This window comes from Homo sapiens, chromosome 12 (assembly GCF_000001405.40).
Source record: "Homo sapiens chromosome 12, GRCh38.p14 Primary Assembly".
Taxonomy (NCBI): domain Eukaryota; kingdom Metazoa; phylum Chordata; class Mammalia; order Primates; family Hominidae; genus Homo; species Homo sapiens.
Window position 1 is genome coordinate 21,570,826 of NC_000012.12, and position 19,301 is coordinate 21,590,126.

The window sequence follows — 19,301 nt, forward strand, 5'->3', positions numbered from 1 at the left end:
TTATTTAGAGGTGTGGTAAAGACAGAGCCAGTGTTTAAGAAAAATAACTCTGGAAAGAAGTAAAGAATGTTTTCTATCCCATTGAGTATTTTGTGAATTTCAAATGAGACAACAAATGTCAAATGTTTAGAAAAGTGCCTGGTATATGGAAAGTGCTCAATAAATTTAGCCATTGTTATTATTAATTATTATTATTGTTGTAGAGAATCACATGTCACAGATAAGACAGCATTTAACATTTGGACATTTAGAGATGGGAAGATAGATTTTCTAAATGAGCAGGCTGAGTATGCACAAATACAGAGGCAGGATAGCAAGAGCCTGGAGACCCCGTGAGAGGCCTTGGGGAAGTCGGGTGGGTGTGCATGCTTCTGCCTTTCCCTCCTCCCATGGGGCACACTTATCTTTTAGGTCTGTAGTACGCGTGGCCACTCCTGTGGCTTTACAGAAACCTTATCCGTTTACACATGTTGTCCATTCTTCCACATATTTATGATTATATCTTAAAATCTCTGTACAATAATTCCAACACAGGACATATCTGGACCTGGTCTTTCTGACAATGGGTTTTTACTTTCTTGCATTTTAATATATCTCATAGTTTTTTATTGAATTCTGGATAATGTGTATAGAAAAACAAAAAATGGGTAAAGTACATATTAATCAATAAAACACAGTCCAGTGACACATGTGGATAACCCTGTAATTGAAGTTGACTAGCTCAAAGCTTGATCAGAAGAAAGAGTTTAAATCCACCAAATAATTGTCCATGGCTTCCTTCCCCATTTTCCAATCCCAAACGGCACTGTCCTCAGATTTCCATCTAGGAAATTCTGCTACAATTAAGAAAAAAAAGGCCGGGAGTGGTGGCTCACGCCTGTAATCCCAGCACTTTGGGAGGCTGAGGCGGGCGGATGACGAGCTCAGGAGATCGAGGCGATCCTGGCCAATATGGTGAAAACTCGTCTCTACTAAAAATACAAAAAATTAGCTGGCTGTGGTTGTGCGTGCCTGTAGTCCCACCTACTCAGGAGGCTGAGGCAGGGGAATCGCTTGAACCCGGGAGGTGGAGGTTGCAGTGAGCCGAGATCACGCTACGGCACTCTAGCCTGGCGACAGAGCAAGACTCCGCGTCAAAAACAAAAACAAACAAACAACATAAAATGGGAGGGGGGGTGGGGCGGGGGGCAAAACAAGAAAACTAAAGGCTTTAGAGGAAAAAAAAGAATTTATTATGTAGTCATTAGAGTCGAGAGGATAATTGATCAATGATTGGACTTTAAAAAATGAATTTGGAGACATATTCTCAGAAATTTCATACGCTGGCTGAAAATGGTTAAAATCTTATTTTAAATAATGAATTTTACTAAAAACTTAAACCAGCGTTAGAGTTTTTGTAATTGGCTACTAACAAAAATTGTTTTCAGTTAGCAGTAATTTGAGTAAAATCGTTCTAATCTTTCTGATTTTACAAAAGTTTAATTATCTTATTCTTGTTCTCATATTTGCCCTATTTTCATTTGTCTGAGTCAGAATTTACTGAAGCTGATCCTGGTTCCTGCATCAAAGATTAAACTATGACTTCTTCCTTATACTGAAATTTTAAAAACCTTTCATGTATATAATTTGGTATTCTTATGTGTCACCCAAATTCTAAATTTAGTGTGAGCATGGGGGCTTCTGCTGTGTAAAATGACTATGAATTTAACCCAAAAGCTAGTTCTTGACTGCTTGTTGTCTACTAGTCATTTTGCTAGATAGAACATTTTACTAGAAAGATGGGCAGGGATCTGACTAAACTTAAGTATCTCAACCAGTGAAGGGCTTTAAACTAGAGAGATGTGTGATTATATCTAAAGACAGTATGAAAAATACTGCCCTTTCATCAAAAGGGTAAAATTGTAATATATAACTATATACTATAATGCATTTCTTCCTTAAAACCAAAGAAAAATATCCTATGTATATTATTAGTAGCTTTTAAAATTAATTATTACTATACAAGATTCAAGAATTCTGAAGTGAAATATTCAATCTGCCACTCTAATATTTTCTCCTTCACTGAAGTCAAAGTGCACTCCTCTCCAGGAAGCATGGTTGTTGAGCTTACCAGCTTATCACAGATCACTGGTTTGCCCTTATTAGTCCACCATTACTATATACCGCTAAGAACCTCCCAGATCCCCAGGCTTTCTGAATTCCTTGGTGATTTTATTTTAAATGTACAGCTTGTGTTTCTAGTTTGACCTTTAAATTAGGCTGACCTTTTTATAGGGAAGGGCTCATCAGGACCACTCATTGCTTTACAGATGTTAAAGTTTTTCAGAAAGAACGTTCTTGCGCTCTAAGTGTCTTTGAGACAGTAGTATAACTTTTCAGTGGCATTATTTGAGTATTATTTGTGTATTACACACACATACACATTCTATTTTATAGAATCCTAGAACTCTTTAAGCTGGGAAATTTTTAAAAATCAACTTTCTAACTTCCTAATTTTCCTGATAGCAAAACTGAACCCTAGAGTACTAAATAGATTTGATTGTTAATATAGACACCAAATCTGCAAAACCTCTGAATTTATACTACTCAAACATTTTGTTAATATTATTAACATGATGATATAAAATATATACTTTCATTAATCTAAATTGACATGAAAAATAGAAGAAATAAATCAAAACTGAATGACTTTGGCAGGTCATAGACTCAGGTAACCTGCTAAGATGAGCAAAAATAACTTCTTGTTCACCAAGGACCCATATCCCTGTTTGCAATAACTTCTGTTTTACTTGATCCCACAAAAATGCCCCCTGTGCATTGCAAAGTTACAGGGAAAACTGAACCTATCAACCTATAATGTGGCTTTTAATCAATTGTTTACTTGGAGGATAGAAGAAATAGAGGAAGTAAGTCTCATAGTGCAAGTTTGTATGTCTCAAATCTCAATTATCTACCTGCCACTCAGAGCTGCATGTGGATCCAGGGTGTTCACAGCGCTTCCATAGCCTTAGGCTAGAACAAGGGCCCAACCTTGCACCTACACCATGTCTTTACTCCTACCATATCCCTCTGGAACTATTGTTCCAAAGTGGGACAGAAATCAGGCCTCTCACCTCTATACTCTAGTGTACTCTGAACAAAGTTGAACTATATGAGCTGTCTTTCAACCCAAGGGAAGCTTTGTCATGAATATTGATTAGCTAAAAGGGCATTTCTGCCATCTGGTTGGCAGATGAAATGTACAGATCAATACTTATCTTTCAGCTTCAGCAATCTGAAAGAAGGGTGAGTAAGAGGGAGGGAGGAAGGAATATTTACCTTATCAAGATGGTTGTAGAAATCAATATTTGCTGCACAGAGATACCTCCCAAGTAGTGTAGCGTGGGTTGTAAATATTGTGGCAATAGGAAGTTTCCTGGCTCGAGAAAGGATCAGTCCAATTCCAGCCTGCCATTCATGGAATTGGGCAACGACATATTTACCATCTGCATGATCTGTCACCTACATTAGGAAAAAAAAAGCATTCAGAAAAGTTGTTGATGAAGCTTGATTGTGCTCATGGTCCACATCATAAGTGGAGTTATGGTGTCTATAAATTATTTTGCAACTTAAAGGAGTCGAAACATAAAGCATGAATATTTAGCAAGGATAATACAGGATTCAGTGGCATGTTCATTAACCCCATATATTTTTAGGTCTTAATCCTCCCTTTCAGTGATGGAGCAGATTTTTTATATCCACAGAAGAATAAATACTAATATTAATAACAGGTAATGAATATTAATAAATAAATGGAATAAATGCAAAGTAGGCACTCAAAAAATATTTATTTAAGAATAAATAAATTCTTAAAGATATCACTGAACAGCTGAATCAATTGGGACCACTTACTTATAAGCTTATTTTTAAAAAACTACTTAAATTTTTTTTAATTGACTAGACTTGTGTTTATTTATAGTATATATTTTGATATTTACTAAAGAAATGGCCAGGAAGAGACTTGAAAATGCCTTGTATATTTGTAGTGTCCCAATTATGGAGAAGCAAATGTTGCCTAAAACTATTTAACAATCATAATGAAAAAAAAATGCATATGAAGAAAAAGTGACTTTTACAATATCATTTTTTTCTAATAGATAATTACTTGGATTTTCAATGACTTGAAAACTCTAAAAGCATACAATGATTTTCATGTATATATTTGCATATTTGATTTTGAGAAACAAAGATAAAATGCCGTTACATCATTTTATAATAAATAATAAATGATTCCATGTTTTAAATTTATCTTATTTGGGTTTTCTTTTTCTTGAAGCCAACAAAATTTAACTGATATATTATTAAGAATATGGAATTAGAGAGAAAGAGGCTAATAAAAAACATGCCTAGAATCAAATAGCAGCTTTGTAACACACTGAAGATCGGGGTCTAATTCCACCCCAGGGTCTAGTTCCAAATCAGGTGGGCATCCGTATCTTTGCCTTACAAAGAGACAACTTATTTTGTTTGCCCTTACAAAATATTAACATTCACACTGACTCCACAATGAGAGTTCATTTCCTTAATAGAGACAATAGCAAAACACTGTCATTGAAGAAGGCTGAGCAGAGAATTGGGAAATTTGGAGAGTAAACTTAAAACAGTGGTTATCACATGTAGTGTACATCAGGATCACCTGGAAAGCTTATTAAACAAATAGCTTATTAAGCTATTTGCTACTCTTAAGATTCTATACTTCATGTTTTTCTTATATATATATATTAAGTATCATCTATATATGGGGCAATATAATTGGGTGTTTGATACACATCATGCCATTTAAATTTGACATGAGGTAAATAGTAATAAGTATCATTATTACGCTATTCCATTTAATTTGCAGAATGCTCAACATTTCCTCAGATTTCTTTCAATTGTATTAGGACAAGCCATAATGGCATCATCTCAAAATCTGCCTCATTTAAAGATCATGGGATCATTCTTGGGCACTGAAAGCAGTTGTGCTGCTCCTCCGTTGTATCACTATATAATAAACCATACCTCTTTTAAGAACCAGGCAGTTAAAGATCCAAATATCAGCATATCATTGGCTTCTCGGTCATGATAAGGAATGCCGACACTGCATGCTTCCCAGAGGTCACCCTTCCACCTGTCCAGATTCCAAGCTGAATAGCCTATGTCAAAAAGTACCACATAAGGACTTCCTTCTATCAGCCATCTTCCAAAATGCACCTGTCATATAAAGAACACAGCCATGTAGTGATATTAAGTCATGCAAGACAGGACAATGTATTTGCACTCTGAGGATATAAACTTTATGTAGTACTCAATAGCAAATTAAACAAGCTACTTAGAAAAGAATATTGATAACATATAGCCTCTGCTGTTTGAGCCTCAAGCTGGAATGGGCATAAATCCATTCATCTAGAACCTCCAAATTCTTGCTCTTCATTAAATTTAAAAACAATGTATCTAAATCATGTAATCTCTGTTCATCTGTCTCTAGTTACTCTCTTGTGACCATGAACTCACAGTGATTAATATTATAGTGTCTGCTTTTATGACAGAGCCATGAAATGCTTTGTATCTCTGAAAACCTGGGTAGTTGGATATAATGGCTCCAGTGTCGCTTATTTTCTTTTATGGAACAGGACTAACAATATTTCCTGCTAGAAGAAAAAGCTATTTCTGTAGTCCAATATGTATGATTTATCTTACTATTCCTATCAAAAGAAGTGATGCAAAATGTTTCCCAGTATGGTTGCTGCCAGAGGTTTAACTAAACACATTGCCCTAGATACATTATCTCTTTAATCTAGTAACTCAAAGTATAATTCTATTACATTCTTCAAATTGACGTTGATTCCTAAATGTTTTATCTTCTGCAAGTTTTAATGAATTAGCTCTCTCATTTTTTTCCAGTTGTATGTATATCATCACTTGCATATCCAAGTTTTAACTTCCTTTTTTGTCTCCATATTTCTATAGTAATTTACTTGTTCTTTTGTCTTAATTTTCATTTTATGTTTATTCTCCTTTTACATGATATACAACCTCATAAACCACTTCAAACCCTTTCTGGAACTCAGCAGAGGCTACGAGTCTTTCTCAATGTGGATCCAGGCTTCTCTAGAAAATAAAATATATTAATATTGCTTACATATTGACACTTATGACTCCACCTATGGCTGAATTTTGCAGGACTTCAAAGCCCAATTTGATCATTTCCTACCAGGGGACCCAGGCATGTGTGGGGATGCTTCTCACCCATCTGTTCCTTGGTCAACCTTGAAAGACCCTCATTATGTTTCAGTTGTTTCCATTATAATTTAGTGTTTATCATGCCACTGTTTCCTTTTAAGATGAAATTTTCCTGAGCCCCAAACCACTTTTCAATAGTTTTTCTCCTTGGGAAATTCATTGCTTCATGTATTTATACACTGTGAATAACATGTAATATTACTATATAATATTTACTGACTGCCTAATATGTGCCACATGATACATAAGCTAAGATCATAAAGAAGAGCTGAACCTATTACACAAATAGAGAATGTAAGCCAATTGGCATTGACCTCCAGTCAGTTCTTGGCTGCAACGTGAAAATATCCCTACACTAGAAAGCCATGAAGTCTTGAGACCAGTCAGTTCCATTGTGTTTCTCATCTAACTCTTCCTTCACCAGAACTTCAAATGCAAGCCCTTTCTAACATTTCATTTATTTGCATCCTGATAGTACAATAGGCATTGTTCTATCACATTTCTAACATTCTCTATGCTGCCTTCACTAAGAAATGTTTTCCGGTACTCTTTGGGATCTCAATTTCCCTTGTAAATTATGCATTCCACTCTTTAAACCTTGCATGCACCTCCTAGACACCACTACCCACACAGCATCTCAAGTGAAGACTTTGCATTTTTTCACCCCCAGAAACTATATTCCTGGGATGAGTAGGAAGGAAAGTTACTGATTTTTAAAATTCTACTGAAGCTTTTAAAGCCTTATTCTTTATTTACATATAAAACACCTTTGAAATGTTTGCTATCCAAAAATATTACCTTTCCTTGCTCAGCAAAGATAAGGTTACTTTTTGACCTTATCCTAAGCAACTTCAAAGTCCAGATTTTTTATCCTGCACACTTAACCTCATGGTTACTTGACCTTATGGACTTAAAAGACTTTCATGTCCACCTGATTTCAGCTACTCAGGATCATGACTGCATTCTTTCCTTGTCAAATCCCAAATGATTTCTTCTCTAAAATATTCCACTTCGGCATTCTGTTACCCAGTTACAACTCTTGTACTTCCATTTCTGTCACTGTGTTTCTGCCAGTGTATATATTCTTTCTTTCTCCCCTTTAAGACCTCCAGTTCCTATAACCCTCCATTTTGTCCTACATTATCATCTTCTTTCTGGCTTTGCTTACTTTCTTTCCTGTCTATTCCTTATTTAATTCCTTCCTTTTCTATCTATTCCAATGCAATGGCCCATGAATTAAACTATTAATTCAATCACTTTTACAATTACCTTCAATTCTTGGGCCACCTTGACCCATTGCATGAATGGTCAAATTAAACAACACTGGATCTTCATCTATTCAACTTCCTGCACCATCACTCAGACTGCAGACTGCTCCTGGACAAAGTCACAGCCGTGTGTATTTGTGCCACTATAAAGTCATGACTACATCTCAAACATGTCCAAAAATTCCTTGAACACTTTTTCAGAACTTCTTTCTTGAACTTCCCTAGTTTCTACACTTGCCTTTTAATTGTCATAAAATGACCTTTAATACCTGCTTCAGTGAGATCATCAAAAACATTGGGTAAGATTGTCCTGAATTCTTCATTAACTTGTATCTAGTATTTGCATTTATCTTTTTTTCCTTTTTTGAGTGAGACAAGCGAAAAATGATTCTTTCAGTATTGCTTTGGATCTTGTCCCCTTCCCCATTCTCAGCGACTTTATTCTCTTCAATCCTCCATTTATTCTGAGCTTTTAGCTTTTCCCTGTCTGCTAGGTATTTCCTTTTTGCAAATAAACATGCTCAGGTCTTACCCATATTTAATAACACACCAATTCTCAAAACCATGTCATTCTGCAACTACATTATTATATTTTATATTCATAGAAAAATCTCATAATCACAACTTCTGTGTCTTTTTTCTTACCACGTATTTATTCCTTAACCCACTGAAATGAGATTTAACCTTCCTTTCTCCTCTGAAACTGTACTTATCCATGTTACCAATGGCCCAAATATTACCAAACCCAACAGACCCTGGATCAGTCCTTTGCTGACTTAATCCCTTCTTCATACTTAAAATTCTCTCCTCCCTTGACTTGACATCACGATTCCTGTTGGAGCTGTAACAAATTACCAATAGCCTAGTGGCTTAAAACAAATTTATTATCTTACAGATATTGAAGTCAGTAGTCCAAAATAGACTAAAATCAGTGTGTTGACAGAGCCACATTCCATGTGTAGTTTCCAGGGAAGAATTTATTTTCTTACTTCTTCTTTTTTTTTTTTTTTTTTTTTGAGATGAAGTTTCACTTTTGTTGCCCAAGCAGGCGAGCAATGGCACGATCTCAGCTCATTGCAACCTCTGCCTCCTGGGTTCAAGTGATTCTCCTGCCTCAGCCTCCTGAGTAGCTGGGACTACAGGTGCCTGCCTGCAAAACCACACCTGGCTAATTTTTGTATATCTAGTAGAGACAGGGGTTTCACCACGTTGACCAGGCTGGTCTTGAACTTCTGACCTCAGGTGATCCATCCATCTTGGCCTCCCAAAGTGCTGGGATTATAGGCATGAGCCACCATGCCTGGCCGCTTTTTCTTACTTCTATAGGCCACCTATATTCCTTGTGGCCTCTTCCTCCATCTGCAAAGTAGCTCCCTTCAACCTCTGCTTTCATTGGCACATCTCCTGCCTGATTCTAATTCTATGGCCTCCCTCTTAGGAGGACCCACCTAGATAACTCAGGATTATCTCCCCTTCTCAAAATCTTTAACTTAATCACATCTGCCATATTCCATTTGCTATAAAAGGTAGCATATTCACAGCTTCTGAGGATTAAGACTTGAACATCCTTGGTTGTACATCATTAGCTTTGCTTCTACATTTGCAATCTCTAGCTTCTTTTAATGTAGATGCCCTAACATGCTGACATTCCACAAGGTTTGGTTGAAAACCTTTACTCCAAGTCTAAACATTTCCACTGAATAATTTTTAACAACACTCATGACTTCAGTTTATGTACAAATGACTTCCTCAAAAACATGTTTACTCTGTATCTTCTGCTGAACTCCAAACCAATTATCCTTCCTCCTCGGTTTTCACAAGGTGTCTCAAATTCAATCCATTTAAAAGCAAGTTCATCATCTTTCTCACAAACCTGAAAGTTTTCCTTAAGTAAGTGAATGGTCTTCTCTTGTGAGTTCATGTTAGTTACAGTCTTTTTTCCCATAAGTTTACTGAGAATTGCCAAGTGAAGTGTCAGTTCCTTTACCTGGCAGCCATGCTTATTCATTGCGTCCACTGCTCTTCTGACAGCATCATTTACAGGTTCACACTGTTCCACCTGAGTCTTCATATTATGCTCAAAATATGGACCTATCAGAAAATAGTTCTCTCCCCATTCATCTGCTGTTGTTTTGGCCTTTGTCTGAATCACAGTATAGATGCCTCCAACTGTTAAAAGGAAAAAAGTTTCTATTATCATTCAGGTTAGCAATTTGTTTAAAGTAATAAGGGATGGAAATGAGTTCAGATTTTTAAATTAGCATTTAGGATCCACTAAGCCCAAGGATTTATTTACCTTTCAAAAATAATAGTATTTGACATATTGTTAAGGGACACCAACGAATGGTTACTGCTTTGTTCAATTCTGTGCATGTTTTAAAGTCCCTTCTAGGTGCATGTGAAATAGCAGCAGGCTGATGCCGCAAAGAGGTCAAATACCTCAAAAAGAAAGAGTCTGAAAAGACAATTGGAGTAACTACTTGCCTAAAGCTCCAGTCACTTTGTAGTGTCAAAGTTAGGACAAATACCCATTGTCATCATACATGCCCTCAGCAGCAGAAATCACTTTCACCTCTCTTCCTCCTTCTCCTACAGTGGTCCAGAAGGGGCTCAGGTATGTTCAAATAACAGCTGCTGTGGTTTTCAATTATGAAGAAATCTCCTAAGCTACATAGTCATTTATCTTTTAAAGCACCAAGCAAAGTACCTTTTGATAAGGAGAACGTGCTTATAGATGTTCATAGAAGATGCTTGGTCCAACCCCGATGTCAAATCCAATAACACAAATACGTATTTCATTCTCACATGGTATTTCTCTCTTCCTAGTAAGGGAGGAGACCACCCTTCATATTGTTTTATGCCCAATTTCTGCCTCCAAAGAAAGAAGAAGTAAAAACTAAAAGGCAGAAATGAAATCCACAGGCAAACAGCCTGAGACCACATCCTGGGCCTGGTTAAAGATAGACCCCTGACCTGGCCAGTTATGTTATCTATAGATTCCAGACACTGTATGGAAAAGCAGTGTGAAAATCCCTGTCCTGTTCTGTTCCATTCTGATGACCAGTGCATGCAGCCCCCAGTCATGTACCCCCTTAGAGTTGTAAGCCCTTAAAAGGGACAGGAATTGCTCACTCTGAGAGCTTGGTTGTTGGAGATGTGAGTCTTGCCCAAGCTCCCAGCCGAATAAAGCCCTTCCTTCTTTAACTCGGTGTCTGAGGGGTTTTGTATGCAGCTTGTCCTGCTACACTAGAATCGTTCCTTAATTCTCTCCTCTAATATTGCTGCTACCTCTATTAAAACACAAAGCCACAATATATGGATACATTTGGAAAATATGCACACTTTGGATCCAGCAAGTCCACATCTAGAAAACCATCCTGGGGGAAAATTAAGGAGAGTATGAAAAGGATGTTTACTAAAGCATTATGATGGCAAAAAATTAGAAACAACTTACACTGAACTAGTCAACTTACTTAACAGACAGAAGGCTCAATTAGCTCATGTGTCAAATGGGGGTAAAATAATATTTAGTTTGGAGGGAAAGACAGGCTCTAAAAGAGGATTAAAAATTAGATGTGGCCTAGGCAAAGAATTTATGACCAAGTCCTCAAAACTAAACACAACAAAAACAAAAACAGACAAATGGGACTTAATTAAACTAAAATGCTTCTGCACCGCAAAAGACCGAATCAACAGAGTAAACGGATAACCTACAGAATGAGAAAAAAAAATTGCAAACTATGAATGCAACAAAAGGCTAATATACAGAATCTACAAGGAACTCAACAACAAAAAAACCAACCTCATTAGAAAGTGACTGTGATGGTTAATACTGAGTGTCAACTTGATTGGACTGAAGGATGCAAAGTAATGATCTTGGGTGTGTCTGTGAGGGTGTTACCAAAGGAGATTAATATTTCAGTCAGTGGGCTGGGGAAGGCAGACCCACCCTTAATCTGGGTGGGCACCATCTAATCAGTTGCCAGCACAGCCAGGATATAAAGCAGGCAGAAAAATGTGAAAAGGCTAGATTGGCTTGGCATCCCAGCCTACATTTTTCTCCCATGCTGGATTCTTCCTGCCCTGGAACATTGAACTCCAGGTTCTTCAGCTTTGGGACTCCGACTAGCTTCCTTGTTCCTCAGCTGGCAGATGGCCTGTTTTGGGACCTTGTGAACATGTGAGTCAATACTACATAATAAACTCTCATATAGATATAGATATAGAGATAGATATAGAGATAGATATAGATATAGATATAGATATAGATATAGATATAGATATATATCTCCTATTAATTCTGTTTCTCTGTAGAACCCTAATACAGATTTTGGTACCAGGAGTGGTTCTAGAGGAACAGAATATTAAGGATGGAGTTCTTTCATTGGTTTTGGGGTTTCTGGAGTTGGCTGCTTAATATGATTAGACCCAAATATGCTAAGGACTCTTCTTCTAATGGTATGGAGAACACTGATAATCCTTGGCATCAATTGTTTAGAGAGTTATGCAAAATAAATGCATTTGACACTCTTGATTCAACGCTTGTGAGAGGCAAGGAATTTAGCTACTGTATACATAATACTTTTGACTATATGTGGAGAATCAAGGAACATAGTGAAGTTGGTTGGTTGCTTGTAAGTTCGCTGGACAAAGTGATGAAAGAAAATGATGAACTCAGGAGTATATCAACTCTCCAGCTTTGTGCCATAATCTTATTTGGAGAGAACTTGCTCACCTTTCACTTCCACAAGATATCACAGTGGTCCATTACATTGATGACATGCTGACTGGAACTAGTGAGCAAGAAGTAGCAAACACACTGGATTTATTGATGAGACATTTGTGGGACAGAGGATGGGAAATAAATCTGATTAAATTCAGGGACCTTCTACCTCAGTAAAATTTATAGGGGTCCAATGGTTTGGGGCTCTTTGAGATATTCCTTCTAAAGTGAAGGATAATTTGCTGCATTTGGCCACTCTTACAACCAAGAAATAGGCACAACGCCTAGTGGGCCTATTTGGATTTTGGAGGCAACATATTCCTGATTTGGGTGTGTTACTCTGGCCCATTTATCGAGTGATCCAAAAGGCTGCCAGTTTTGAGTGGAGTCCAGAACAGAAGGCTCTGCCACAGGTCCAGGCTGCTGTGCAAGCTGCTATGCCACTTGGGCCATATGACCTAGCAGATCCAATGATGCTTGAGGTGTCAGTGCCAGATAGGGATGCTGTTTGGAGCATTTGGCAGGCTGAATCACAGCGGAGGCCTCTAGGATTTTGGAGCAAGGCCCTGCCATCTTCTGCAGATAACTACTCTCTTTTAGGGAGAAAGCTCTTGGCCTGTTACTGGGCTTTGGTGGAAACGAAATATTTGACTATGAGTCATCAAGTCACCATGTGACCTGAACTGCCTATCATGAACTGGGTGCTTTCTGATCCATCTAGCCATAAAGTGGGCTGTGCACAGCAGCATTGCATCAGCAAATGGAAGTGGTATATATGCGATTGGGCTTGAGCAGATCCTGAAGGCACTAGTAAGTTACATGAGAAAGGGGCTCAAATGCCCATGGTCTCCACTCCTGACACACTGCTTTCTCTCCCTGAGACTGCACCGATGGTCTCATGGGGAGTTCCCTATGATCAGCTGACAGAGGAAGAGAAGACTAGGTCCTGGTTCACAGATAGTTCTGCACGATATGCAGGCACCACCCAAAAGTGGACAGCCGCAGCACTACAGCCCCTTTCTAGGACATCCCTGAAGGACAACGGTGAAGGGAAATCTTCCTAGTTGGCAGAACTTTGAGCAGTGTGCCTGGTTGTGCACTTTGCACAGAAGGAGAAATGGCCAGATTTGCGATTATATACTTATTCATGGGCTGTAGCCAAAGGTTTGGCTAGATGGTCAGGGACTTGGAAAAAGCATGACTGGAAAATTGATGACAAAGAAATTTGGGGAAGAGGTATGTGGATGGACCTCTATGATTAGTCAAAAACTACAAAGATATTTTCATCCCATGTGAGTGCTCACCAATGGGTGACCTCAGCAGAAGAGGATTTTAATAATCAAGTGGATAGGATGATCAATTCTGTGGACACCACTCAGCCTTTTCCCAGGCCACTCATGTCATCGTCCAATGGACCCATGAACAAAGTGGCCACAGTTGCAGGGATGGAAGTTATGCTTGGGCTCAGCAACATGGACTTCCACTCACCAAAGCTGACCTGGCCACAGCCACTGCTTGCCAGCATCAGAGACCAACACTAAGCCCTTGATATGGCACCATTCCTCGGGGTGATCAGCCAGCTACCTGGTGGCAGGTTGATTATATTGGACCTCTTCCATCATGGAAAGGGCAGAGGCTTGTCCTCACTGGAATAGACACTTACTCTGGATATGGGTTTCCCAATCCTGAACTCAATGCTTATGCCAAGACTACCATCCATGGAATCACAGAATGCCGTATCCACTGTCATGGTATTCCACACAGCATTGCTTCTGACCAAGCCACTCACTTTATGGCTAAAGAAGTGTGACAGTGGGCTCATGCTCATGGAATTTACTGGTCTTACCATGATCCCTATCATCCTGAAGCAGCTTTTGAATGGCCTTTTGAAGTCACGATTACAATGCCAACTAGGTGACAATACTTTGCAGGCCTGGGGCAAAGTTCTCCAGAAGGCTGTGTATGCTCTGAATCAGTGTCCAATATATGGTACTGTTTCTCCCATAGACAGGATTCACGGGTCCAGGAATCAAAGGGTGGAAGTGGAAGTGGAAGTGGCACCACTCACCATCACCCCTAGTGTTCCACTAGCAAAATTTTTGCTTCCTGTTCCCATGGCATTATGTTCTGCTGGCTTAGAGGTCTTAGTTCCAGAGGGAGGAACACTGCCGCCAGGTGACACAATAATGATTCCATTAAACTGCAAATTAAGATTGCCACCTGGACACTTTGGGCTCCTCCCACCTTTAAGTCAACAGGCTAAGAAGAGAGTTACAGTGTTGGCTGCGGTGATTAACCCAGACTATCAAGATGAAATCAGTCTACAACTCCACAATGGAGGTAAGGAAGCGTATGCATGGAATATAGGAGATCCATTAGGGTGTCTCTTAGTTTTACCATGTCCTGGAATTAAGGTCAGTGGGAAACTACTACAGGCCATTCCAGGCAGGACTACAAATAAAGGTTTGGGTCACTCCACCAGGAAAAAAAAAAAAAAAAAAGACAAGACCTGCTGAGGTGCTTGCTGAGGGCAAAGGGAATACAGAATATGTAGCAGAAGAAGGTAGTCATCAATACCAGCTACGATCACGTGACCAATTGCAGATACAAGGACTGTAATTGTCATGAGTATTTCCTCCTTCTTTTGTTAAAAACACCTTCGTGTCTGTATACACTTGTACTAAGAAAATATATACATTTTACTTCCTTTTTCCTTTATCATGTGACATAAGATTTATTGACTTCATATCAGCATTTAAGTATTGTTAAGTTTATGTAATAGCATTTGCAATGGGGATTGGTGCATTTTCAATTGCACGAAGGATAGTTTTAGTATGTTAGGCATAATTATGACTTATTGTTGTCTTTATTTGAAGATAATGTATGACCTCAGGGGATGTGTATAGGCTCAAGTTGACAAGCGATGGACTTGTGATGGTTAATACTGAGTGTCAACTTGATTGGATTGAAGTGTGCAAAGTATTGATCCTGAGTGTGTCTGTGAGGGTATTGCCAAAGGAGATTAACATTTTAGTCAGTGGGCTGGGAAAGGCAGACCCACCCTTAATCTGGGTGGGCACCATCTAATCAGTTGCCAGTGTGGCCAGGATATAAAGCAGGCAGAAAAAAAACATGTGAAAATCCTGGACTGGCTTAGCCTCCAAGCCTACATCTTTCTCCCATGCTGGATGCTTCCTGCCCTCAAACATTGGACTCCAAGTCCTTCAGCTTTGGGACTTGGACTGGCTTCCTTGCTCCTCTGCTTGCAGATGGCCTATTGTGGGACCTTGTGATTGTGTAAGTTAACACTACTTAATAAACTCCCTTTTATATCTAAATCTATATCTATCTATCTATCTATCTATCTATCTATCTATCTATCTATCTCCTATTAGTTCTGTCTCTCTAGGGAACCCTGACAAATACAGTGAGCTCAGGTCCTGAGCAGACATTTTCCAAAAGAAGACATACAAGTGGCCAATAAACGTCAAAAAAAAGTTCAACATCACTAATAATCAGAGAATGCAAATTAAAACCACCATATGATACCTCCTTATGCCAGTCAGAATGGCTATCATTATAAAGTTCAAAAACAGCAGATGTTGGTGAGGATGTGGAGACAAGAAAATGCTTATACACTGTTGGTAAGAATGTAAATTAGTACAAACTTTATGGAAGACAGCATGAAGATTTCTTAAAGAACTAGAAACAGAACTACCATTCAATCCTGCAATCCCACTACTGGGTATGGACCCAAAGTGAAAGAGATCATATTAAAAAAGATATCTGCATTAGTATGTTCAAAGTAGCACTGTTCCCAATAGCAAAGATATGGAATCAACCTAAATGTCTACCAATGGACGATTGGATAAAGAAAATGTGGTGTATATATATTTATATACATATATATTACTCAGCCATAAAAAAGAATGAAATCATGTCTTCTCTAGAAACATGGTTAGAACTGGAGGACATTATCCTCAGTGAAATAACTCAGAAACAGAAAGTCAAACACAGTATGTTCTCATTTAGTGAGAGCCAAGTGGGAGCTAAACGATGAGTAAGCATAGACATATAGAATGAAATAATAGACACTTGAGACTAGAGAAAGGTGGGAGGATAGGAGTATGGTGAGGACTGAAAAACTACGGATTGGATACAACATTCACTTTTCAGGTGATGGTCCACTAAAAGCTCAGACTTCACCACTATGCAACATACATATGTAAGGAACCCGAGCTTGTACCCTGATACAGCTTGACTGTGTCCCCACCCAAATCTCATCTTGAATTGTAGTTCCCATAATCCTCACGTGTTGTGGGAGGGATTTGGAGGGAGGTAATTGAATCATAGAGGAGGTTACTCTCATGCTCTTCTCGTGATAGTGAGTTCTTACAAGATCTGATGGTTTTATAAGCGGCTTTTCCCCCTTTTGCTTGGCACTTCTACTTGCTGCTGCCATGTGAAGAAGGACATGTTTGTTTCTTCTTCTGCCATGATTGTAAGTTTCCCGAGGCCTCCCCAGCCCTGTGGAACTGTGAGACAATTAAACGTTTTTTCCTTATAAATTACCCAGTCTCAGGTATGTCTTTATAAGCAGCATGATAACGAACTAGTACATACCTTCTAAATATATATAAATAAATTTTAAAAATATAAAATAAATTAGATCTGATTGAAAAGGCAAAAATTGAGCAAGCAAAATATCACTTAATGGGGTAATTAAAAGGGTGAAGAAATTGGGCAAATGGATGTCATGAGGAGGAATTTTTAGGCAGAGGTAATGGTCAGAGCCCAGGCCCTAAGCTGGAGTAGAGTGTGCAAGGAAAGAGTAATAGGATTGAAAAGGATAACCAGGTAGGAGGACATAGGGAGGGGTAAGGGGAGGAAGACCTCCAGTAAACTTAGGCAGGATATTTCCCGTGACAGCACTAAATAATAATCACATGTGAGAATACACAAATAATCTGTCGATTACTTGAGCAATACTTTGTTCATGAGCTAGAGCAAGGGGATGACTCAAGAAATCCTTTGTGAAATCCTGGAGGTAATAAGATCCTGGCATCAATCTTCAACTCAATTGCAAAAAGCAATTTTATTACTTATATATTACTTCTCATTTTTCACTGCTGTCTTTCAAAACATATTCCATTTCATCAGACTACAGGTTTTAATAGCTACTATATTTCTTAAATGTATTATTCCAGTAACTTATACTTTACATAGTAAATCTTATCAATAGTCACAATCAATGGTCACAAAGTAGAACTTCATCTGGAGACATTACTTTTAGCCTGAGCCATGCAAAATATACTTTTTGGAAAATTGCCCTTTGAAAGGCGAGACACAAAAGGCAAATGTTGATGCTATTATATGGTACCAATAGGATTCATTAATTTATAAAGGAGAAGAGCTAATGTAACTCCAAAATGCAAGCAATTTTCATATGAGTCTACACAAGCTAATTGTCCTTAAGAATTTCATCTTTAAGGAAAAGTTTTTTACTGTATCAAAAAGAAGTTTAAACTGTCATTGAGCAGAGTCTGATAATAAGGACACTGTCAAATCACAGTTCAGATGTTATGTGATGAGGACAGAATAGAACACATGAGGAGGAAGCAGAAACTTCTAGACTGGACAAGAACAGACATGATTAACTTAACCATCCAACAATAAATCTAAGTTAACATAAATTGATGTCATCTACTACATCTAAGTATTTCCTCAAATTCTGGACAATTTTAGAAACCATCAAAATTATTTGTTGAGGAAAAATAAACTTAGCCAATTTGCAAGGGCAACTAAAATGAAGAACTTTTCTTTAAAGTGTGGGAGTCACATCTTAGCAACATATTTAAATATATCTAAGCTTTCTTCAAAACCACTATCCACAAAAATGCAAAATTTCCAAAGAATTTCTCCTCTTCTGTAGACTTATTTTCTTCATCTTCATCTTTTCCAGGAGAATATACCATAAGTTTCTGATGGTACACATTTATTAGATGTTTTATTTACATTTTTTATCCTTGAAAACTCCTTTTATTTGCAACTATGCATCTTACTCAGAGATCTTAAAACATCCTTGTTTGTTAGATTACGTATTTCAAATTCATATACACTTTGGTAGATGCAAACATTTTTATTTGCTGAAGAACATAAGGGGGAAATAGAGATTCTTTATTTGAAGAAACAAATGATTTGATTTGGGAAATGAAATGAAAAGAAAAACATAGTTAACTAATTCGCTACTTCTTTTACTCATCTGAGGCCTTCAGATAGTCCCCCATATAGCCTTAGAGTGTTTAAAATATGATTATGCTCTTTCAGTCTATTAGAAATAAAAACATAAAGCTTAAAAAATTTCAAGGGAAGGGGCTTGAAGATTACTGACTAAGGGCAGCTGACACTCACCTCCTCCACAAAGAACCAAAATAGTAAGTAGAAAATCCCACATAAGAGAGAATTCTGGAATTCAACAGAGAAGTGACAGGAAGCATCTAAGGCAATGAAGGGGAGGGAAGCAAGGAAGCCTACCCAGTAGGGATCCTCTGTGAGGCCAGAGAGGCTCCCCAGTGCATCGAAAGTTAAGTGACTGACTCCCAGTGGTCCACATCTGCATTATGGACTCCAGGAATCCTAGCCACAGGAGAGTCCCTTGACCATGCAGGCCTTGAGACTATCATAAGGAACTGCCCAGCAATCGCACAAAGGCATTGCTCCAGAGAAGGAGCTCTCACTGGGTCCCACCCCTGCCATCCCCATTACTGAGCAGCAAGGTGCCATTTTGAGAGCCCAACACCCACCAGATGACATCGTTCCTCAGACCCCAACATCATCTGCATCTCTACATCCCTGAAGCTCTGCTGACATCCCCCACCCACAGCTGAGTGCTACTGCTGGCTGCTGTCACCAGGGATAAAGTGTGTCATTAGAAGTGGACTCCCCCACCCCCAGTAGCAGGGCTGCTACACATTTATAAGCTCCCTAAGAAAATGCTACCCCACTTGCAGCCACCATCTGGGGCTGAAACACATGCCCACCAGCAACCC

The 19,301-nt window shown here is 38.5% G+C and overlaps 1 protein-coding gene across 4 annotated transcripts in view; it reads right to left on the reverse strand.

The window, feature by feature from the left end:
- Positions 1 to 19,301, reverse strand: part of GYS2 (glycogen synthase 2) — a 72,271-nt gene that overhangs the window by 38,249 nt on the left and 14,721 nt on the right. For 3 of the 4 annotated variants that reach the window (XM_024448960.2, NM_021957.4, XM_017019245.3), the window contains exons 2-4: positions 9,517 to 9,698; positions 5,041 to 5,232; positions 3,319 to 3,501 (exon numbers count right to left, since the gene is read on the reverse strand). In XM_024448960.2, the coding sequence (XP_024304728.1) occupies positions 3,319 to 3,501; positions 5,041 to 5,232; positions 9,517 to 9,698 (557 nt within the window). Of the gene's footprint in view, positions 1 to 3,318; positions 3,502 to 5,040; positions 5,233 to 9,402; positions 9,492 to 9,516; positions 9,699 to 19,301 lie in introns of those variants that run through there. The other variant, XM_006719063.4, reaches the window with a different exon arrangement.